Below are 21393 nucleotides of genomic sequence, written 5' to 3'. Positions count from 1 at the left end.
GCCACATCCCATTCCTGCAGGGAAACGCTCGCAGCAGCTGGGGTGAGTCCTGGAACTGTCTCCCCTGCTGGGTGCCTGTCCAGGCACCAAGTCCTGCTTGTGTTTTAGAGCAGGCTAAAAGCGGTATCATGCCCAATCTACACCTAGGCATTTGGTATTGAAACTGCAGAAAGTTAAAGAAACAATCTTGAAAGAAGCCAGCAGCGGGTGGGGAGGAACACCTAAACTACAGACAAAGAATACATTCATTTCTTATAGAATTAGTTTTGACTTTACAGAAACTGTGCAAGTAAAAATACAGTGGACTGAAATATTTAAAGTGTTGAGAAAAAATCCACAAGCCTAGAATTCTGTATCCAGCGAAATTATCCTTCAAAAGTCAAGGAAAAATAGACTTAGACAAAAATTGAGAATTTGTTACTAGTAGACCTGCTTTGCAAAAGGTGTTAAAAGTTCTTTAGAGAGGAAAAAAAATGTACAAGTCAGAAACTTGGATTTACATAAAGAAAGGCACGAGTGATCGAGAAGGAATAAGAAAGGTAATAAAAGCTTTTATTTTTCTTACTCTTTTTTTTTTTGAGACAGGGTCTTGTTCTGGAGTGCAATGGTGTAATCACTGCAATCTTGATCACCTGGGCTCAGGCGATCTTCCCACCTCAGCCTCCCAAGTAGCTGGGACCACAGGTGCACACTACCATGCCCAGCTCGTTTTTTAATTTTTGGAGAGATGGGCTCTCACTATGTTGCTCAAGCTGGTCTTGAACTCCTGGCCTCAAACGATCCTCCCACCTCAGTCTCCCAAAGTGTTGGGATTATAGGTATGAGCCACAATGCCTGGCCATTAATCTTAATGGAACAGACAAAAGTTTGTTAAAGTTATAACAATGTACTTGATTATATATGCTTATGTATAAGTGAAACTAATAATAGCAGTGATACAGGGGACAGGAGTGAAGAATTGGGAACATACTGTTATTAAAAGATACTTTTGGTGGGGCACAGAGGTTCACGCCTATAATCCCAGCATTTTGGGAGGCCAAGGCAGGTGGATTGCTTGAGCCAGGAGTTTGAGGCCAGCCTGGGCAACGTGGCAAAACCCCGTCTCTATAAAAAATACAAAAATTAGCTAGGTGCTGTGGCATGCGCCTGTGGTCCCAGCAACTCAGGAGGCTGAGCCAAGAGTTCCAGGATGCAGTGAGCCGTGATCACACCACTGCACTCCAGCCTGGGCGACTGAGCAAGACCCTGTCTCAAAAAACAACAAAACAAAAAATACTTGGGCTACCGATTAGCAAGCAGTTCAGTGTTATTTGAAAGTGGGCTTGAAATAGTTGGAAATGTGTATCACAAAATCTAGGGTAACCACTGAAAATGTGAAAAAGTATAATTGATGTCTAAGAAAGAATAGAAAATAAAATCATAAAATGGTCAATTAAAACCACAAAAGGCAGAAAAAATAAAAAACAAAAACAAAAAATAGAAAATAGGAACAAACATGGTAGATATTAATCCAACTATATCAACAGTGACTTTGAATGTCAGTGGTATAAATGCACCAATTAAAAGACAGAGATTGTCAAAACGGATCAAAAAATAAGACCTAACTATATGTTATCTACACAAAACCCACTTTAAAAATAAAAACAATGGCTGGGCGCAGTGGCTCACGCCTGTAACCCCAGCACTTTGGATGGCAGAGGCGGGCGGATCACTTGAGGTCAGGAGTTCGTGACCAGCCTGGCCAACACGGCAAAACCCCATCTCTACTAAAAATACAAAAATTAGCCAGGCGTGGTGGCTTGTGCCTGTAGACCAGCTACTCAGGTGGCTGAGGCAGGAGAATCACTTGAACCCGGGAGGCGGAGGTTGCAGTGAGCCATGATCTCATCACTGTAGAGATGGGTGGCAGAGCAAGACTCTGTCTCTAAATAAATAAATAAATAAATAAATAAATAGACACATGTAGATTAAAAGTAAATGAACAGAGGAAGAAATACCATACTCACATTAATCACAAGAAAGCTGGAATAGCTATATTAATTTCAGAGCACACTTCAGAGCAAAGAAGCTTATCAGGAATAAAAGGAGTTATGCATAATAAGGGGTGTGGAATATCTTTCCATTTTACCTCTTTGACTTATTAAAGTTTTATAATTTTCCTCACAGATCTTGTAAATATCTTGTTAGATTTCTACCTAAGTTGTGTGTTTCAGAGTTGCTATGTCTTCCTGGAGAGTGTGGCCTTCCCAGGGAGCTGCTGTTGGCCTCTCGGGTCATTTCTTGGTGGTTTTGCTGTCCTCACCCACGAGCCATGCTGGACACCATGTGACAGGAGTCCACTAAGTGTGGGCCCCGTGAATATTCTCGTTTTACTTCTTTATGGAGCTGCTGCTGAATCAGGGCCTGGGCTGGACCCAGGGAGCAGCGGGGTCCCGGAGAGATGGGGCTGCCTGGGCCGGCAAAGCCACCTCTAGGGACCCTGGCTAGCGTCCCACCTGGGCTCCTGAAGTGTGAGATTGTGAGGGCGGCCTCTGCTGTGGGTGACAGTGCTGCCTGAGGCTGTGGTGGCAATTGGCGTGGTGCACTCTGTAGCATGGGTTGTCCAGGGAGGTGTTTGTGACAGGCTTCCCAGGGTCACGGGTGCTTGGGAGAAGCAGGAACAGGGCAGGGTCATACCAGGTGGACCAGGACAACCAGGGCTGGGTGTCCGGCCTCACGAGGACAGACCTCCCACAGCAGGCAGACCCTGCTCTCCTGGCGCTCAGGGCTATGGGTACTCCAGCCAGGCCCTCCTGGGGATCTGATCTCAGGGCCCTGGGGGCATGGTTTGGACATCTGATAGGGGCAGATTACAACTCTGAAGACTTGGCAGGCTCCGGACTTACTATAAAGCTACAGTACTCACGACAGGGTGTTGGCAAAACAGACCAGTGAAAGCGGAGAGAGAGCCCAGAAACAAATCCGCATGGAGAGTCAACTGGTCTGTGACAAAGCGGCAAAAGCAATGCAATGGGGCACAGCCTCCACCAAATGGAGCCAAACAACGGGGCGTTCACATTCCCAAAATGAATCCCAACACACACATTCCACCCCTACAGCAATTCACTCAGAATGATCACAGACCTAAATGTGAAATGCAAAACTATCAAACTCCTAGAAGATAACACAGGAGAAAATCTAGATGACCGAGGGTTTGGTGATGAGTTTTAAAAACACAAGACTGAGCCCAGTGGCTCCCACCTGGCATCCCAGCACTTTGGAAGGTTGAGGCAGGAGGATCAGTTGAGCCCAGGAGTTTGGGACCAGCCTGGGCAACACAGTGAGACCCTGTTTCTTTCTTTCTTTCTTTTTTTAATAAGGCGGGGGCGGACCACAATCCAAGAAGAAACCAGTGAGAAACTCGATTTCATTAAGATTAAAAACTGCTCTGTGAAGGCACTGTCAAGAGAATAAGAAGAACAAGCCCCAAACCTGGAGAAAATAACTAGAAATGAGATATCCATGAAAGGATTACGAGCCAAAATTTACAAACAACTCTTACAACTCAACAAAAAGAAAAGGGACAACCAATTTAAAAATAGGCAAACATTCTGAGCAGATACCTCACCAAAGAAGATACGCAGATGGTAAATAAGCCATGAAAAGGGGCTCAGCATCATATGTCAGTAGGAAATAGCAAATTAAAACAATATACCACTACACACCTATCAGCTGGCCAAAATCCAAAACACGAACACCACCAAATGCTGGTGAGGACGTGAAGCCACAGGAACGCCCATTCATTGCTGGTGGGAACACAAAATGGTGCAGCCACTTGGGAAGACAGTTTGGCAGCTTCTTGCAAAACTCTCACCATATGATCCGGCAATCACACTCCCTGGTAAATCCCCTTTGGGATTTACCCAAAAGAGGTGAAAATGTATGTCCACACCAAAACTTCCACACCGGTGTTTATAGCAGCTTTATTCATAAATGCCCCAAACTGGGACAAGCCTAAGATGCTCTTGAGAGAGGGTAAATGGATAAACTGTGGTAGAGCCAAACAATGGAATATTATTCGGCACTAAAAAGAAATGAGCTGTCAAGCCATGAAAACACACAGAGGAAATATAAATGCTATTACCAGGCGAAAGGAGTCAATCAGAAAAGGCCACATAGTGCATGAGTCCAACCACATGACATTCTGGAAAAGGCAAAACTGTGGGGACAGTAAAAACCATCAGTGGTTACGGGGGTGGAGGGTGGGGGAGGAACGGGCAGAGCCAAGGGTTTTCAGGGCAATGAAACCATTTTGCATTCTCTGTAAATGGCGGACCCGTGTCCTACATTTGTCCCAATCTACGGAATGGCTAACACCAAGAGTGGGCTCTAACGGATGCCGTGGACTCGGGGTGATGGCGCATCCGTGTGGGTTGGCTGCCTTAATAAATGTGTGCTCTGGCGGGCGGGGGTGTGCGGGGGTGATGGTGAGGGAGGCCGTGCATGCGTGGGGGCAGGGAGTGTGTGGGACTCTCTGTACCTTCTGCTCCATTTTGCCATGAAGCTAAGACTGCACTAGAAAATAAAGTCTATTTAAAACAAAACAGAAAAGGTGATGTTGAGGGAGCCCTAGAGGAAGACGCTGGCCAGCAGTAGGTGGGAGGGGCCTGGGAGAGGGCGGGCACCAAGGTGGGCGTGTCAGGTCCGTGAGCCTTGGGCCTCGCAGCACGCACTGGCCTGCTCATGCCCAGAGCCCACCACCTCAGAGCCCGGGCCTGGCCGGGGAAGGTGGAGGGCACCCATGAGGCCCCCATCCTCTCTCCTGACACTCCCAGTGCAGTGGGGAGACAGATGACAAAGCTGTGATACATGTGTACTCACAGACCTCGAGATCTGTGCAGCGAGTGGCCCAGGGACCCCTCCTCAGCCAGGGCGTGCTGGGAAGTCCTCTCTGCAGAGTGATGCTGAGAGCCGAGAGACAAGGGGAGCCAGTAATACAAAGAGGGGGGCTGGTCGTCCCAGGAGGGAGGGATGGAAGGTGTCAGGACCAGATGTGGGGAGTAGGCATGAACCCGGTCTAGGCACAGGAGAGGAAGGGGGTGGCTTGGACATATTTGGAGGCAAAACCCATAGCTGGCGGCAGAGGGAGGGGCAGGGAGAAACAGGTGGCTGGGACCAGTTTCTCATGGGGATCTGGGCACATGATGGCCCCCAAGACAGAGACAGGAAGAAGTACGCGTGGGGGGCCCAGTCTGGATATGCTGAGTGGGCGGTACCCCACTCCAAGTGTAGTGCACAGAGAAGGGCTGGAGTTACAGGCCTCCTTGGGCAGGGGTCTGAGACAGCAAGGAGCTCAGGGGGAGAAAGGGAAGGAGCAGCCTTCAAGAGAGCCTGGAGGTCAGAGCGGAAGACGTCCATCCCCAGGTAATGAGGGACTGGGAGGGACAGTCAGACCAGGTCTGGGGAGAAGAACACCAGGAAGGAAGAACAGGTGGGAATGGAGAAGCAGCTGGGAGTGGTGGGGGGGTTGGGGGTTGAGTGTGGAGGAGCTGGGAGTGGTAGGGGTGCTGGGGGTTGAGTGTGGAGGAGCTGGGAGTGGTGGGGGAGCTGGGGGTTGAGTGTGGAGCAGCTGGGAGTGGTGGGGGTGCTGGGGGTTGAGTGTGGAGGAGCTGGGAGTGGTGGGGGTGCTGGGGGCTGAGTGTGGAGCAGCTGGGAATGGTGGGGGAGCTGGGGGCTGAGTGTGGAGCAGGGGACTGAGTGTGGAGCAGCTGGGAGTGCTGGGGGAGCTGGGAGTGGTGGAGAAATGGAGAATGAAGAAAGGATTATCAGGGAATGGGGCATGTCCACAGGTGAAGCTCTGGTGACCTGGACAGGAGGTGAGGAGGTACCCTGGAAGGAAACAAGAGGGACAGGGCAAAGGGGTGGGGCATGTGGAGACCAGAGAGGGCTTCAGGAGAGGATAGCCCAGACTCTGATGGCACCAACAGGAAGCAGCTTGGTGAGGGGCCGCCTGCCCGTGGTCAGCCCCAAAGACAGTTCTGCCACGCCCCCTGGTGGCAGCACCTAAAGCCACAACCACGTTCCAGGGTGCACAGCCTGTGGGATGCAGAGGCCTCTGGGATGGCAGGACGGGCTGGTCCCGGGAACCATGCATGTCACCAGCGCCCCTCCCTCCCCACGCCCTGACCTTGAACCCCTGGTTAGCTCCTGTTCCCACTGGACCCCTTGTCCCCTTCCTTGATCACTTTATGCATGCCTGGCACTGCCATCCTCCTTCCCAGCATGTCCACACCCCCACCACTGCCAGGGGGACTCCATGGCTCACCGGGCCACATACTGGCTGCCCCCACCTGAACTCCAGGACGAGGGCATGCTCGTGACAATGCCCTTGGTACCTGAAGGTGCCTGGCACGCAGCAGCCACGGAGTCACTGTCCAGTGAACCCAGGACCAAACTCTCCTGCAGTGAACCCAGGACCAAGCTCTCCGGTTCTGTCACGGCCCCTCTCTGGGCTTCCCAACGTCCCAAGATCTATTTCTAGGGCTGGGGTTCTGGTGCTGCGCTGCCCGGAGCTGAGTCCCAGCCAAGCCCTACAAGCTGCAGGGCCCTGGGGGGAGCAAAGCCTCATCTGCAAGTGGGGACACTGAGGACCCACAGGGCCACCTGGGCTAAGGGCAGATGCAGGTGAGGACAGGCCTGGCCCAGCAGAAGCACCTGCGTGTGGGGCGCCACACTGGATCACCTCAGAGAGAGCGCGCAAACAAGCACGCAGCCAGTGCCTGCAGGAGGCTGAGAGGCTCTGGGGACAGTGCCACCGTTCCAGGCCCGAGCGATGGTTTTGCGTATTTGCTTTGTGGAAACCCCAAAGTGAATGCTTGTGACTTGTGCACTTTTCCATACACTCACACACACGTGAATAAACATGCGTGGTATACGGGTACCCCCCCTCCAGCCATGCAAAATGTGTCCCTACCAGCCTATGAGAAAGGGGAGGAGCCCCACCTTACCCTGGACATGGGAGGCTCCTCCGCTGCTGGGGACAGGGTAATCCTGGCCCCAAGGCGAGTGCTGTGGGCGTTTGCAGCGGGCGTGGGCGCCCGTGAGGACTTCCTGAGGCCCGGCCTCCGTGGGAGGAAGGCCACTGGAGAACCCAGCTCCCACGGAGGAAGAACCAGAAGTGTCCGGCTGAGACCCGATGCAGGGTGCACCGGGGCCTTCCTGCCTTACCCATGGGCCCCCCACGCCCTCTCAAGGCGGTAGAATGAATCCGCTGATTCCATGCAGTGGGTGGGGAGGGCCGAGGGGGTGTGGTGGGTACCAGTGCAATTGAGGGTTCGAGTCTTGTGGGACCAGGGCCTGCACCCCCATTCCGGGCCCAGCACCTGACACACAGGGAGGTGCAAACCAGACCACACGGAACAGCCACGCCAGCAGCCAGAGTGGGCGTTTCCCACACCGCCACCCAACACTGGGCAGCTCCTGCCACCCACCCAGCGTGGGGCCTCTCAGGCTGGCCTGGCCCTGGCTGCTCAGGCAGAGACAGACCCAAACAGCAACAGATATGTGACACTGAGTGAAGCGTGCAGACACCTGACTCCCACCCCAAATGTTTTCTTCCCCAAACAACCCTGAACACACAGATGAATGCAGCACAAAGTCTAACGCCAACACACTTTATTTCCCTTCGGACGCATCTGCAAGCTTCTGCCACACCTGAACCCACGGCCTGGCACCAACGCTACCATCACTCCCCAGAGGTCAATCCTGGGGGCTGAGGGGCTGCAATTTCCCTTTCTTCCTGAAAATTAAGAGAACTGAGACTAATTGAAGAAACCTCACTGCCATTCCTCACTCAGCAGTCTCAGCAGGTCTGAAATGTGGCTGTGGGAAGTTGCCATTTTGGGAAGGCGTTTATTCTCTGCGGCTACAGGGATTGCCTGCTTTAGAAATCCCCTTACGCTGATTAACTCAAAAGTCCCTTCAGAGTCAAGAACCAACCTTTCATGGTCCATAAATGTGGTATTTCTGGTTTCCTGATCAGGAGGCTTGCAAACCTAAAAATGTTCTTCCTTCCAAAAACTAACTAACCTGAAGTATAAAACCTCAGACGGCAGAATTTTCTATTTCTGGAAAAGCTGGCTGCGATTTGTTTTTGGGACACAGTGAGGCAAGTCCCTGTGGCAGAGAACGAATTGGCCCCTCGGCCTCTGTATGTGAGAGCAGCCCAGCCACACCCAGGAAGAAACATCCCCCATGCACTGCAGCACATCCTCCTTAGAGAGAGAACGCCTGCAGGTTTCGGCAAAGAAAAAAAAAAAAGGGCCTGCCAGACTCCCAGCTGGATGGAAAGCAGCCGACAGCTCCTCAGCCAGAGGGTGAGGCCAAGTCCTGGCGCCTAGCTGGGCCCCGTCCATGCGCGTCACTTTCCAGTGAGTTCCAGCACCTTCCTCACCATGGCTCCGATCCCATCATGGATGTAGTGGAGTGCCGTCTCGCACATGAAGGCTGGGGTCGTGACCACCTTGTTTTTCTGGTCCACGTGAGCTTCGTGTGCAGAGTTACGGAAAAAGCCACCCAGCACGGACCTGAGGGACTTTCAGGTGTGGAGCCCCGGCCCCTCCCCCACCCTCACCGCGTGTCCTAACTTTGTTCTCAGATAACTTGGAAGAGGAGAACTCGCTCCTGGTGCAGTCTGTGCCGGCAGGACCCTGCTTTCTGTATGATTTATGCTGCTGAACAACATAAGAAGGAACCTGTTCCCAATTCACATGCATTCTAGAGGAAGAAAGCAGCGGGAAATTCCAGGGAACGGGGCACCTTTCATGCCAGCATCACACAGGCCCAACACCCACACATGGCCACGAGCTGCCCCGCCATGGGGGCGCACACATGCCTGGGGTGCTCACAACCACCACGGGAGGCAGTGGCAGCACCTCCGCTTTTCAGATGAAGAACTGGCCGTGAAGGAGCCGGTCCTCATGGGGCAGGGCAACAGGCAACAGGGCAGCAGGTGGCACAACTGGGGCCGGCCAGCCACAGACCTGAGCCTCCCCAACACCATGCATGTAACCACTGGCCAGGCCTCCACACCACCCAAGACACGTGCCCCTATCTTCCTGCAAGCAGTCAGAGGCCTGGGGCCAGCCTTGCACTGCGCTCCTGCCCAGCAGGAAAGCCGCAGGGAGGGAGATGGGGCCTGACGTCTGAAGCTGCCTGTGAGAAAAAAGCTGCCCCATTGAGAGGAACTGCACCCTTCAGAACAACACCTGCAGGGGACCGGGTCCATGCTCTACTCATTCCAGTGCCTTCCGGCACCCCGGAGTGTTCTGTTCTCTCAGTTGGGCTCACATGGACATTCTCCCAGATCCAGGCAGGGCCTTCCAGGAGCCTCCCTCCAAATCTCCCTGGGCAACAGCCCCGCTGGTGTTCTTGGTCCATCATCTCAGAACTCAGGGTACACACCTCAACAGGAGGGGCTGGGGGCCGCAAGGCTGGCTGAATCACCTGGCCACCCAAACTGGCCTGAGAACTTCCGCCCAAATGAAGCCAGGAAGCCCCTTCTCCTGCACACCCGGCCGCTTTCCCCCAGCATCTCAGGAAGCCCCCGCCTCCTGCACGCCCGGCTGCTCTCCCTCCACACCTCGCACACACTCTTTCCTCACCCTCCCCCCGCTGGGCCCGGAGTGTGGCTGCCTGGGTGTTGCTGAGCAGACTAAACAGTCAGGCAAGGGACCTGGATCTGCCAGATCTGCCAACCACGCACCAGAGCTGCGCTTCTGACGTGTCTGTGACCCACCTCACACCAGCTGGGCTGTCACAGCCATCTGCTCTCTGCCCTTAGACACATGGCTGCGGTGCCCACTGGGGGAGGCCCCACAGGGAGAGCAGCAGGTGCAGCTCCCGGTGAAGAGGCCACCCACCAAGACAGCCCGGAGGGAGGGGCGTCCCTATGCACGTCTCAGGGACAAGCACGACAGCGGGCCGGGCCTGGCTACCAGGAAGGATATGACCACTTCCTTCACGCAGTGCTTGGCACCCAGGGCCTTGATGGCCTCTGCGGTCCCGGCATAAGGCCACTTGCCACCTTCCTCCTGCTCGTGGCCCACAGTCACCTCGACGCCTCTGAGCACCTTGGCCGCGAGGACAGGTGCAATGCAGCACAAGCTGAAAGGCGAAAAGAACACGGGTCAGGCAGGCTGCATGGCCTGCAGAACAGAAATTACCCTCGCCATGACCCCAGGCTGCCCTGCCACGGGAGCCCTGCCGACCCTGCCCCCTGTGAGCCTGCGCTGCCAGAAGGCTGTGGCCCATGGGATGTGATGGAGGTGGCACCAGGTGACTCAAGGCTGAGAGTGAGGTGTCCTCAGCCCCACTCCCCGCCAAGCACGCCCTGCAGGCACTCAAGCACCAGGCCAAGGACCCCTGAGGGGAACCCCCAACAGCCATGGGCTAAGCCCCAAGCCCCAGGACACCCCAGACTGGCGAGAGTCCCGGGCTGCCAAAGTCCACTCACAGAGAGGGTAATGATGTGCGGCTGCCCCAGCCCTGAGTTGTGGGGTGGTCTGTGACCCAGCAATAGATAACACAGCTGCACTTCTCATTCACACCAGCCCCCCTTCTACAGGAGGCACAACGGGCCAGGAGCAGCCTCGCCAGCCTCCGACCTGCAGCACAACTCTCAACAAGTGCAGGCTGGTGGACGCACGCCCCTGACCCTGACGCACAGGCCGCAGCAGCCCTGAAACTGAGGGTCCTGCCACACCCACCCCTGGGACCTGCTTCTGCTTCATCAGGAACCCCTCCCTGCCAAGTCAACAGAGGCCCCTGTGTGCCAGGCACTGTGCCCACAGCAGGGCCTTCAGTGACCTGTGTCGTCCAGCGCCTCATGGCCACCCAGGGGCAACAGTGGAAGGAGTACGGCCTCATTAACAGCAGCCCCATCCCCTGGCAACCTGTGGTGTAGCCCACAGCTGTCAGGCCCCACCCTGCCCTCAACACCCCGCACCCTTCATCCCTCCTCCCGCTGTCTACAGTCCTACCCACTCCCGACAGGCCCAGGTGGAAACTGCTACCGTGAGCTGTAACGAAACACTGTTAAAAACACATTTCACAGCCAGGTGCAGTGGCTCATGCCTGTAATCCCAGCACTTTGGGCAGCTGAGGCAGGCAGAACACCTGAGGTCGGGAGTTCGAGACCAGCCTGACTAACATGGCGAAAACTTGTCTCTATTAAAATTACAAAAGTTCGGCCTGGTGGCAGACACCTGTAATCCCAGCTACTTGGGAGGCTGAGGCAGGAGAATTGCTTGACCCCGGGAGGCGGAGGTTGCAGTGAGCCAAGATCACTCCAGCCTGGGCAACAGAGCGATACTCTCAAAACAAACCCGCCCCCAAAACTGCATGTCCTGAAGCAACTTCTGGCTGCCTATGAGATGAAACCCCCCTGCCGCCCTCTGCGCAGGCAGAAAGTCCAGGAAGCAGGTTCTCAGCAGCTCCCGACGCTGCGTGCAGCCGCCCAGCCATCAACTGCCAGCTACAGATGCCACAGTGGCTCCTGGCACAGCCCAGCGCCCACCTCGACTACTGCATTCAAGGAAGGGGTCCCAGCAGTGAGCGGCTGGGCCGCCTAACAGCCCCTGGCTGGCCACGCAGGCCTCTGACACCAGGCTGAGGGGTGGGTGGGGCCAGTGGGAAAGGATTTAGGTTTCCTCAGGAAAAAAGCCTGTGGGTCACCGTGCACGGAAGCCCCATGGCTGGACCGGGGAGCAGACGGGCTTGTGCCCTGCAGTTTTCAGGGGAGCCTCATGGCTGGACCGGGGAGGAGACAGGCTTGCGCCCTGTGCTGTTTCCAGGGGAGCCTCATGGCTGGATTGGGGAGGAGATGGGCTTGCGCCCCACACTGTTTTCAGGGGAGGCATGCTCAGAGGCAGTGGTTCACCTGCCAGGGGCTGTCTTGTTTCATCGAGATTTTTAATCAGTCACAGAAGAAAGGGCCATGGGCTCCTCCCTCTGGGCGCTCATCCAAGGAACACTTCTCTGACAAGGACGGGATCCCGAGGTGGAGACCATGGGCGAAACCTTCACCCCGGCTGTGACACGGCTGCAGCAGGGACCTCCTTCAGGAGCTCTGAGCCTGCACCTCTTCCTGAGGCTCCACTTTAGGGGCCTCCCTGGACAGTGACCAGGCAGGTCCTTAAGTGAGTGACTGTGGATGGGGAGACAGAGGATTCCGATAGATCCTCATCCTTGTTCGGCTGACAGAACTCGGTAGTGAGCGGCCATCGCGAGTGCGCCTCACTGATGTTCACCCACGCAAGTGCGGCTCTCGCCCTGCCAGCACCAGACGCAGCTGAGACCTGGACAGCACAGCGCCGCGTTCCAGGACCACCAAGGAGCAGGTGCCGGGAGGCTCGTGGAAGCATCACACCTGCCGAGGCGGAACCCGGCCTTGCTGGGTCACCCTCACACATCTGAGAGTGACTTCCCGGCAGCAGACGCTGAAGAGCACACACTCCCTGCGGGGCTGCGACCCGCCACGTAAGCCAAGGCGCTTACGTGGATGAAGGAGTGGGCGCCCTACTCGTGCCGCCAACCTCAGGACCCAGGCTTTGTCTGAGCAGGGACAAAGGGGCGTGGTTGGCTGTGGCTCCCCAGGAGGGAGGCCGCTGGGAGTGGATGGCGTCAGGGATGGAGCACGTGCTGCAGTGACTGGCCAGAAGTCAGCGGGGTTGGGGGTACTGTGGCTAAGGGGCTTGGGAGAAGGGGTCTGGTAAAGGATAGGGGTCCTGAGGGACTGCCTAGGGACACCTCTGGGAGCCAAGAGAATTCCAGGCCTCCTCTAGGGAAGTGCACTGTGCCTCTCCTTCCTGTTAAGTCACCAGTGACATCGTGTGAAATCCCCTCAGTTAAAACAAGAAAAGCAGCTGTGAGTTTTCAGGATCAGCGGCAGCTCCTGGCTGAGAACAGAGGCCGCGGGCCCACGCACCCTCCTCCCTCCCTCCCCGAGGCCTGCACGGCTGTACACACCCGATGGGCTTCCCGGCCTGGTGGAACTCCTTCAGGACACGCTCCACTTCTTTATTCACCTTGCAATCTTTCCCGTCCACGGCAAACGTGCTCCTACCGGGAGACAAAAGGCCTCCTCAGACAGCCTCACAACCAGGGTCTATTCCTGGGGGGCTTCCTAGGCACAGCTCCAGACCCTCAGTCAGCTGCAGCAAGGGACATGGGCATGGCTGCACATATGCGCGTTTGATGTGAACATATTTTCCTGTTTTTTAAACAGAAATAAGCATAGGAAGCAGGAGGATCAGGAAGTGGTGCAGCAGGAGGCCACCAGGGCGAGAGGGCCCACGCCCTGGAACCTTCCGGAGCAGCTGGCAGAACCCGGGCTGCGGTGCTGAGACTCAGACGCTGGTTTCCGGCTCCTAACTCCCGTGCTGCTTGTTAGCTTTCTGTTACGACGTTGGCTGTGTCGGGCCTCGGGCAGCCTCTGACCTTCCCGCCTGCCCTTTACCTGCCCCAAAGCAGGACTCTAATGTTCCCCGCCTTTCTGACTGTGGGTCTCAGGACCCTCTCCTGAGAGGGTCCCCCACTCCCCGGGGGAGAATGCTGACGTCATGTTTCCCTGAGCACTGTGAGCCACGCCAGCAAACGGGGTTGTGGGAACCCCAACTTGAAGCCAATTGGTCAGTTCCAGAGGCTCAGACAGTTTACCGGTATGTGTCAGAGGGCAGTTTTGGGGACGGAGCCCTCAACCCGTGCGATCGGACGCTACCCCGGGTCCATACTGTTGGAACTGAATTAGAAGGCAGCAGCGACCCCTGCGTGGTGCATGGGGAAGACCCTTCACACCCACCTTCTGTGTGGACAACTGTTGTGGTGGGAGGAGGAGAAACACGGTGTGAGAGTTTTTCCTTAAAACAAAGGGGCAGCAGGAAACTCCAGGAGTTCCCAAAAAAAGAAACGCAGTCGGCCTCCAGGCATACCAAGCACTCTTGCTTCGATGACCGTGAAAGAAACGCCAGTTTACCTGCGACACCAGCATCCACACCTCAGGCCGAGGAGCAGGAGCTGTGGAGGGCACGCGGGGCAGGGGAGGTCTCTCCACACTGCCCATGGGGCGTGTGATCTGGCAATGCCACCAAATCTACAAGTGGACACACCTTCCCACGAACCCACCCCTGGGCTCTACGCCACCCTCACGCACCCCAGTCCTCTGCCCCAGCATTTTCCACATGGCTTTGCTGGCAGAGTGCTGGGAATCTTCTGGAGGCAGTGGGTGTTCGCCGTCCCCATGGGTGACTGTCTCAGAGGGTGCAGAGTGGCCACGGCTGCAGCTCATTAGAGCGCGCCGCACCATGGACACGCAGGGCAGGCTCACCCAGAACGCTCTGGACAGGTCAGTGAAAATGGGAGCTTCGCCCAGGGGACGTGGGCTCAGACACACGGGCACATCAGTCCCAGGGCCCATCAACACCTTGAAAGCCAAGGCCAAGACCCACTGACCCTGAGAACCACCACACACCTCACGCCTGTGCCTCTGGGTTGGCAAAATGTGGAGGAGCCATGCCAGGGCACGGAGCCCCCAGCACACCCTCCAGCTGCCCCTGCGCCCCGCCACACACGGTGTCAGTGGTCAGAGCCTCGTGGAGACGGCAGCGACGCAGGGACAACTGGACAAAAGATCGAGCCTGACGTGGGGCTGCGTGAGGTCAGGGGTGTGGGCGGCACCGACGAGGCTTGCTGGCTTTCAGGAGACCGGGGACGACAGGCTGGGGTGGGGCTTCCGGTGAGAGAGGGGTGAGGGCACGGCCAAGGGCACTGAGAAAACAGCTGGCATCTGAGGAAGGAGGCCTCTGAGGTTTCGGGATAAGGAGGGGCGCATTCTTCGGATGGAGACTGCCTACCCCTCGACTCTGGGTGCAGGCTGCCCAGGGTGGGGCAAGCGGCCAGCCAGCCTCCAACCTGCCCTTGAAACAGGAGCTGCCGACCGGGGCCGGCCGTGCTGGGGCTGCCACCCACACCATGGCACAGAAGCCACCTGCACGCTCCGATGCACTGTGGCCAGTGCTCCTGCAGGTGGCAGAGCTGTCCCTGGAGGGTCAGCCTGGCACCACCTCCACCTCTCAGGCAGGGCCATGGGGGCGGTGCCCAGAGAACCTCCATGAATGTGCAAAGAGAGAGAGGAGACACAGAGAACAGAAAGAGGATCTGGAACTCAAGGACGCCACCGTGTGGGAGCCAGCCAGGCCTCCATGATTCACGGTCCAGCTACCAAAACAGCCACGCCAAGGCGGCCTCCCTTCTTCCTGTCAGGACCGCCGCCCAAACTACCAAGAAGGAAACCCATTTCTGATCCTGCAAGGTTCCATAAGAGAATTGGGGCCAGGCGCGGTGGCTCAGGCCTGGAATCCCAGCACTTTGGGAGGCAGGAGGGTTACTCGAGCCCAGAAGTTCCAGACCAATTTGGGCTACATACATGGCCAAAAAAAAAAAAAAACAAAACCATGGGCATGGTGACATGCGCCTATAGTCTCGGCTACTCAGGAGGATGAGGCTGGAGGATGGCTTGAGCCCAGGAGATCATGGCTGCAGTGAACTAGGATCGTGCCACTGCATCCCTGCCTGGGCAACAGACCAAGACCTCATCTCTACAGAAAAAAAAAAAAAAAAAGAGAGAGAGAGAGAAAAAAAACTGGCACTTGCAAGGAGTAAATACTCAGAGACTGATTTCAACGTGACGAGACCTACAGCACAGTGATGAGATAAGAGGGAGCCCCAAACCCACTCTGACAAGCTGCTGGGTACCAGGAATGCTGAGAGAAGAGGCAGCAGAGAAGCAGAAACAAAAGCATGGCTCGCTACAACGCTACCTAAGACCCAACCCTAAGAACAGCTCCCAAGTCAGAGGGCAGGCACGTGCCCTGCCCAGACCCTAAACCCAGAGACTGCTCCTATCACCACCCCCTCCCATCGCCGCTCCACTGACCACATTGGACAGCAGACAGGTGCACCCCCTTCCCATCTGCTCCACATGGAAAGCGGAAGACCTTGGAGCTCAAATACGCACAGGTTTTTAGCCGCTCCAAAGCCTCCTGGAAAGATGGCAGCATCATGGTTGGCTGCACTGAGGTTGGCCAGGTCTGTGATTTTGCCACGGGCGATCCTCGCAGACTCGGTCAAAACATTCCTGGGAAAGAGCACAGGGCAAAAAGCCTCAGCATGCAGGTGAAGGACTGTGGAGCGCGGCAGGGGCACAGCCCACAGGCAACACGCTCCACACACGTGGCTCTCAGCCACACGGGGACTTACTTCCAGGTCAGCATGTTTGGTCACTACCTGGAAAGACAACATGGTTCTAGCAACGCTAAATCTATGCTGGGCTCTTCCGATCAGCACTTCAGAACCTGCGCCAAATCACTCTGAATCTTCTGCAGTCAAGGCCCATGGGAAATGGAAGTCTCTCCGAGTGTCTAAAGCAGACAGAATTCTGTGCACTCATCAGGACGGTGGGACTCAGAGGGGAAGGTAAGAAGCCAGGACTCAGGACCAGTGAAGCAACCCGAAGGCCAGCCACCGCAGGAAGCTGCTAGCCCCCAGGTGTGGGGGCCGAAGGTGCAAGTCCAGGTGCAGAAGCCAGGGTCCCAGGCAGGAAAAGAAATCACAGGGGTCCCCACTGGTGAGAAGCACAGCCCCAGGAGGCAGCTATGGCTTCTTCCTCGAATCTCCAGCTCCGACCTCTCGTGGTCCGAGGCCAGTTGGAAGGCACCTTGGAATGGCCTGCACAGGGCTGTCAGGCAGGACAGGCAAGGGAAGGGGATCTCAGGCCACACAGGCCAGAACCACACACACCGCAGTAACAGACATGCTGCTGGGAACCAGCAAAACAGATCTGGAGCCCAGACAGGGGAAGAAGGTGGGCGACCAAGCTGAGAACCACCACCTTTGCTTAAGACCAAGGTATGAGCAGCCTGACTCAGTGGGAAGCGATCCGGTCGCCATTTTCAGTCCTTCTGTGAGTACTGGAAGGAAGGCACTCCTGAGCCTTGGCAGCATTACTTCTGGAACAGCCCGAGCACAGCTGCTCAGAAGGACGTTCATTTGCACACAAGACTTGGTTTAAGCTAAGCCAGCAAAAAAAGGCTGCACCGTGGGAGGTAGACAAGAAGCAAGTTCCAATCCCACCCCCACACCTGCTCTCGCCTTCGGACGGCTGCCCCTTGGTGTGGTCAATCACGTGCATCTGAGGGACGTCAGGAGCAAAGATCTGGACTTCAGCCCCTCCACGGCTCAGGTGCACCAGGATCCTGCACGGGGGAAAACCAGAGACAACTCTTCAAAACGTGCCCCACTCAGATTTGTGTTAACACATTTTTAAAAACAGGATTTTAGCTAAGTACCAGGAGCAAATTCCTAATGTATATTAATATCTTACTTGCTCTGCAAAAAGTTACAGTTGGTTCCATACCAAGCCAAACGTCCCCCACACCCCCATTCCAATTCACTGTCGGTTGGTGGGTTACGACTATGACAAACCCTCAGAAGTGGGCTATGGAGATCAGCTGGTCCCAACAGCTCCCTTTGCAAACTGGGGTATGGGGGCCGGGTGACTCCACTGAGGGCACAGCCTGGAGGCGTGCGGGTCCCCGGCTGCTGAGTGCTCTACCTACACCCAGGGCCTGGCTGCCCTCCTCCAGTTGCTTGCTGCAAGCACCAAGAGTGAGAAGCAGCAGTGTGCTCAGAGTGCCACGTGCACAGACGGTGTGACGGGGCTTTCGGTCACTACTTAGTTCAATTTCTAGTCTCCCTCAACTTTCCCATCACAGATGGTGGGAGAGACACAAGAGACCCCAGGACAACACCACAGGCCAGGCAGCTCCATCTCCCCAAGGGCAAGGGCAACAGAAGCTCCTCCTGGGGACAACAGCTGACATTATGGGGGCTCACGCTGGCATCCGCAACTCCCAGTGCCAACAGGAGATAGGTGGCTAAGCCCACCCACACACTAAGCCCTCACTGCCCCTTACGTGGAGGAGGAAACCGAGGCATGAAGTGCAGTGACTTGCCAGAGGGAGAGGTCAGCACCTGGCCCTGGCACTTGGGTTCCGCTACCCATAAGAAATCCACCCAGACACCCCAGACACAAGACCCTGCCGTTCTGCCTGGGAGGGCTCAAGCTATTCTGGGGCTATTTTCTATCCCACCAAGGCCAAATCATGAAACACATCCTGGCCCTTTCCCCCAGCTCACTCTGCCTAGTGCCAACTCCAACCAGCCAAGGTGGGCCACCCACAAAGCCACCAGCCTCAGGCCACTCTCCATGGCCTGACACCCCTTTCGCCACCACCCAGCTCTCCCCTCTCCAGTTCACCCTGAACCACATGGGAACTACAGGTACCTGGCACGCGTGGTGGCCTCCTGCCCTACTGGTTCGGCCTGCAGTCATTTCCAGTAGCACAGGAAATCAGGCCACCAAGCACTCAGCAACAGCTGACCAGTTACGTAAACAGTAACCTGTCTAGGACCCAGAAATACCACGCAACTGTTAAAATGATGTTGAGAACTGAATGAATGGGAATTACTTCCCATGCGTCAGAAACATTTGCAAAACACGGGTGAGTGTGATCTCAGTGTTTTCAAAATGTGTGTGTCCTGAAAAACACTCAAGTGAAATGCTAAGTCATTTCTAGGCTCTAGGTGACAGCATAAGCGACACTTAAAAACTGTTCTTTCTTAGCGTCTCCCTGGGTTTTGCAAGTCGTTTTTGCTTTTTTTTAGCCAAGAATAGGGTATTTAAAATACAAGCTCTCTCGGCCGGGTGCAGTGGCTCATGCCTGTAATCCCAGCACTTTGGGAGGCCAAAGCGGGAGGATCACTTGAGGTCAGGAGTTTGAGACCAGCCTGGCCAACATGGTGAAACTCCGTATCTACCAAAAATACACAAATTAGTTGGGTGTGGTGGTGCATGCTTGTAGTCCCAGCTACTCGGAAGGCTGAGGCAGGAGAATCGCTTGAACCCAGGAGGCGGAGGCCGCAGTGAGCCAAGATCGCGCCATTGCACTCCAGACTGGGCGCTGTCTCAAAAGACAAAAAGTAAAAATAAAATAAAATACATGCTTTCTCTAAGCTGTTCAAAAAAGAGTAAACTTCACTGGTGGAGAGGCCTTCTCGAGGCCCCCGGGGTGGAGGACCAGCTGCCCCTGAGGACTTACGCCGAGGCCTCGTGGATCTCGGTCCCATCGTAGACTCCGCATCCAGACAGCACCTGCGAGAGGAGCGGGAGCTGACCCGGGGGAAAGGGGCCGACCTGGGCGGCGGGAGTTGACTGGGGGGAAAGGGGCCGACCTGGGCCGCGGGCGCTGACCCGGGAAAATGGGGCCGACCTGGGCCGCAGGAGCTGACTTGGGGTGAAGGAGCCGACGTGGGGCGGCGGGAGCGGACCTAGGAAGAGGGGCCGACCTTGGGCAGAGAACAGCGAAGGCTGATCTCTGGAGGCGGGAGCTGACCTCACCCCCTCCGTCCACTCACCAGCGCGACCCTGGCCGCGGGGCGCGGCACGGAGAGGTGAAGGGCTGCGCGCTGGGAAGGCGTCCGACCGCCGGGGGACAGGGACGTGAATGCAGATGCCGCAGCGAGCCTCGAGGCCACCAGGACCCTCACAGCCGCCATTGCGGTGAGGACAGCGGGGTCGGAAGGTCACGCAGGGACAGAGCGTGCGCACCCACCCCTCTACAAACGCGTTGCTCGTCGGGACTGCGCCTGCGCAGCCTTCTGGGCGGAGCCAAGACCCGCCCCCGTCTCAGCCCTATCCAGTGAGTTCGCCGGTGGGCGGGGGCCGCGCCTGCGCAGAGCCTCCGAATAGAGTTCCGGGAACCCTGTCTTCCTTCCGGTGGTGGCTGAGGGCTCGTGCTCGAGGCTGAGGGATGCTGGTGACTCCCGGGGTCCCCAGCCCCGCCCCCATCGGACGCCTCCACAGGCGGCGCACCCTTTCCGCCATCCGCAGAGCAAGGCTGCCTCGGGGCGGCTCAGTCCGGCGCTTCTTACCTTACCTCCGTCTCATCCTTAACTCACCACGAGCGTCCAGGGTCCACATCCTCCTAAATGGCCACTCGTCTTAATCTCGGCGTCAGGACCCACGCGGGGTCAGGACTACCCCTCCGCTTCCATGACTGTCTCCTCGCGGCTCCGGCTCCCACGGAGCGACCCCTCCGGGTTTTACTGACCCCGGGATGTTGTATCCTGGAAACTGCAGTTCCACCCAGGGGCTTGATCTGGGTTAGTCTGGGGGCAAGTGAGCCGCCGATTCTGTTTGGGTTTTTTTTTTTTTTTTTTTGAGACGGAGTTTCCCTCTTGTTGCCCGGGCTGGAGTGCAATGGCGCGAAGTCGGCTCAACGCAACCTCCGCCTCCCAGGTTCAAGCGACTCTTCTGCCTCAGCCTCCCAAGTAGCTGGGACTACAGGCATGCGCCACCACGCCAGGCTAATTTTGTATTTTTAGTAGAGACGGGGTTTCTCCATGTTGGTCTGGCTGGTCTTGAACTCCCGAGCTCAGGTGATCTGCCCGCCTCGGACTCCCAAAGTGCTGGGATTACAGGCGTGAGCCACCATTCCCGGGCGCTGTTTGGGTTTGTTTTTTTGTTTTTGTTTTTTACGTTCACAGCATGGACGGTCAGTGTGAAGATCCCAGCTGCTCGGGTCCTAGCTGGAATTCTTCCATTAAAAAAATCTGTTTGTTATGCATGGGTTAGTTCACAGAGGAATAGCTGGATAAGTGCTGGCTTTTTCCCCGATTTACCCATTTTCAACCTAATAATGCAGGTTTTTGAAATAATGTGAATGGTTACTGCTGGCGGATGTTCACAGGGACACACCGGATTCTACAGACACATCTGATGATCTAGCCACGGCTGTCACTTTCCCCACTGCCGCGTTGTCCATCACTAGGACTTTACTGCCAATCCTTGCAAGATAGTGGGGAACTAGAATAACAGACATGGGACATTACCAGTTACAACCAAAGACAAGCTTGGCACATTTGACTGTCCTCGTTCCTGCTCCTCCGTGCCTGGCCCTCTTCAGGCTTCTCAGCTCCTGGGGAGCGGCCAGCCAGGGAGCATCAGCTGGTGGGAGCGATGGGGTTGTGGGATGGCACAAAAAAACACCAAGCGCCACTCAGAAAGGAAATGCCGAATGCAGACTCTCACTCAGTCGGTGTGGGGGCCAGGACCCTGTCTCTACCAAGTGTGCGGGAGCTGCCCCTGGCCGGGAGCTCCCAGACCCCACTGCAGAGCCGCAGCTCCAGTTGTCCCAGGGGCGACTACTCAGGTGTCCATCGCCATGCACATGTGACACAGAAAAGGGTGAGGCGAGGAGGGGGAACGCTGGAAATTGTTTCACGGAAAAGGGCGAGGCA

General features: G+C 56.2%; 1 protein-coding gene across 6 annotated transcripts, besides 6 other annotated features; it reads right to left on the bottom strand.

Annotated features, from left to right (window-relative positions):
* Window positions 6486-7145: an enhancer, noted in NCBI's record as "H3K4me1 hESC enhancer chr21:45566085-45566744 (GRCh37/hg19 assembly coordinates)". NCBI's record gives its function as "activates a minimal SCP1, AML or CMV promoter by ChIP-STARR-seq in primed H9 embryonic stem cells {active_cell/tissue: H9 hESC(primed)}" and the evidence as "EXISTENCE:reporter gene assay evidence [ECO:0000049][PMID:30033119]".
* Window positions 7637-19665, bottom strand: GATD3 (glutamine amidotransferase class 1 domain containing 3). Of its 6 annotated transcripts, NM_004649.8 has the most exons (7): window positions 19510-19665; window positions 19194-19246; window positions 17175-17288; window positions 16052-16171; window positions 13006-13098; window positions 9987-10143; window positions 7637-8527 (listed from the first exon to the last, which is right to left on the bottom strand). In NM_004649.8, the coding sequence occupies exons 1-7, from the start codon at window positions 19648-19650 to the stop codon at window positions 8399-8401; spliced, it is 807 nt and encodes a 268-aa protein (NP_004640.4). In that variant the 5' UTR covers window positions 19651-19665; the 3' UTR covers window positions 7637-8398. The 6 variants fall into 6 exon arrangements, 5 of the variants coding, with proteins under 5 accessions (NP_004640.4, NP_937798.4, XP_016883968.1 ...); NR_135220.2 differs by lacking the exon at window positions 19194-19246; NM_198155.5 differs by lacking the exon at window positions 13006-13098.
* Window positions 11969-12127: a silencer, noted in NCBI's record as "fragment chr21:45561103-45561261 (GRCh37/hg19 assembly coordinates)". NCBI's record gives its function as "represses an EF-1alpha promoter that drives an FKBP-Casp9 reporter gene in an ReSE screen in phorbol 12-myristate 13-acetate-treated (for megakaryocytic differentiation) K562 erythroleukemia cells {active_cell/tissue: K562(+PMA)}" and the evidence as "EXISTENCE:reporter gene assay evidence [ECO:0000049][PMID:32094911]".
* Window positions 15140-15289: a silencer, noted in NCBI's record as "silent region_13210". NCBI's record gives its function as "represses an Ori minimal core promoter by ATAC-STARR-seq in GM12878 lymphoblastoid cells {active_cell/tissue: GM12878}" and the evidence as "EXISTENCE:reporter gene assay evidence [ECO:0000049][PMID:35858748]".
* Window positions 18582-19109: an enhancer, noted in NCBI's record as "H3K27ac-H3K4me1 hESC enhancer chr21:45554121-45554648 (GRCh37/hg19 assembly coordinates)". NCBI's record gives its function as "activates a minimal SCP1, AML or CMV promoter by ChIP-STARR-seq in primed H9 embryonic stem cells {active_cell/tissue: H9 hESC(primed)}" and the evidence as "EXISTENCE:reporter gene assay evidence [ECO:0000049][PMID:30033119]".
* Window positions 19110-19637: an enhancer, noted in NCBI's record as "H3K27ac hESC enhancer chr21:45553593-45554120 (GRCh37/hg19 assembly coordinates)". NCBI's record gives its function as "activates a minimal SCP1, AML or CMV promoter by ChIP-STARR-seq in primed H9 embryonic stem cells {active_cell/tissue: H9 hESC(primed)}" and the evidence as "EXISTENCE:reporter gene assay evidence [ECO:0000049][PMID:30033119]".
* Window positions 19638-20165: an enhancer, noted in NCBI's record as "H3K27ac hESC enhancer chr21:45553065-45553592 (GRCh37/hg19 assembly coordinates)". NCBI's record gives its function as "activates a minimal SCP1, AML or CMV promoter by ChIP-STARR-seq in primed H9 embryonic stem cells {active_cell/tissue: H9 hESC(primed)}" and the evidence as "EXISTENCE:reporter gene assay evidence [ECO:0000049][PMID:30033119]".

This window comes from Homo sapiens, chromosome 21, assembly GCF_000001405.40.
Source record: "Homo sapiens chromosome 21, GRCh38.p14 Primary Assembly".
Classification (NCBI taxonomy): Eukaryota; Metazoa; Chordata; class Mammalia; order Primates; family Hominidae; genus Homo; species Homo sapiens.
Note: the sequence above shows the minus strand (reverse complement) of the source record. Positions and strands in the feature narration are given on the sequence as shown.

Excerpts from the sequence above, each read along its gene's own strand:
- GATD3 (NM_004649.8), bottom strand. The coding sequence starts at position 19,650 with ATGGCGGCTGTGAGGGTCCTGGTGGCCTCGAGGCTCGCTGCGGCATCT. Across the intron at positions 19,247-19,509 it reads CCGCGGCCAGGGTCGCGCTG|GTGCTGTCTGGATGCGGAGT; the intron begins GTGAGTGGACGG and ends CTCCTCTCGCAG. Across the intron at positions 10,144-13,005 it reads CAGGCCGGGAAGCCCATCGG|CTTGTGCTGCATTGCACCTG; the intron begins GTGTGTACAGCC and ends TTCGCCTTTCAG.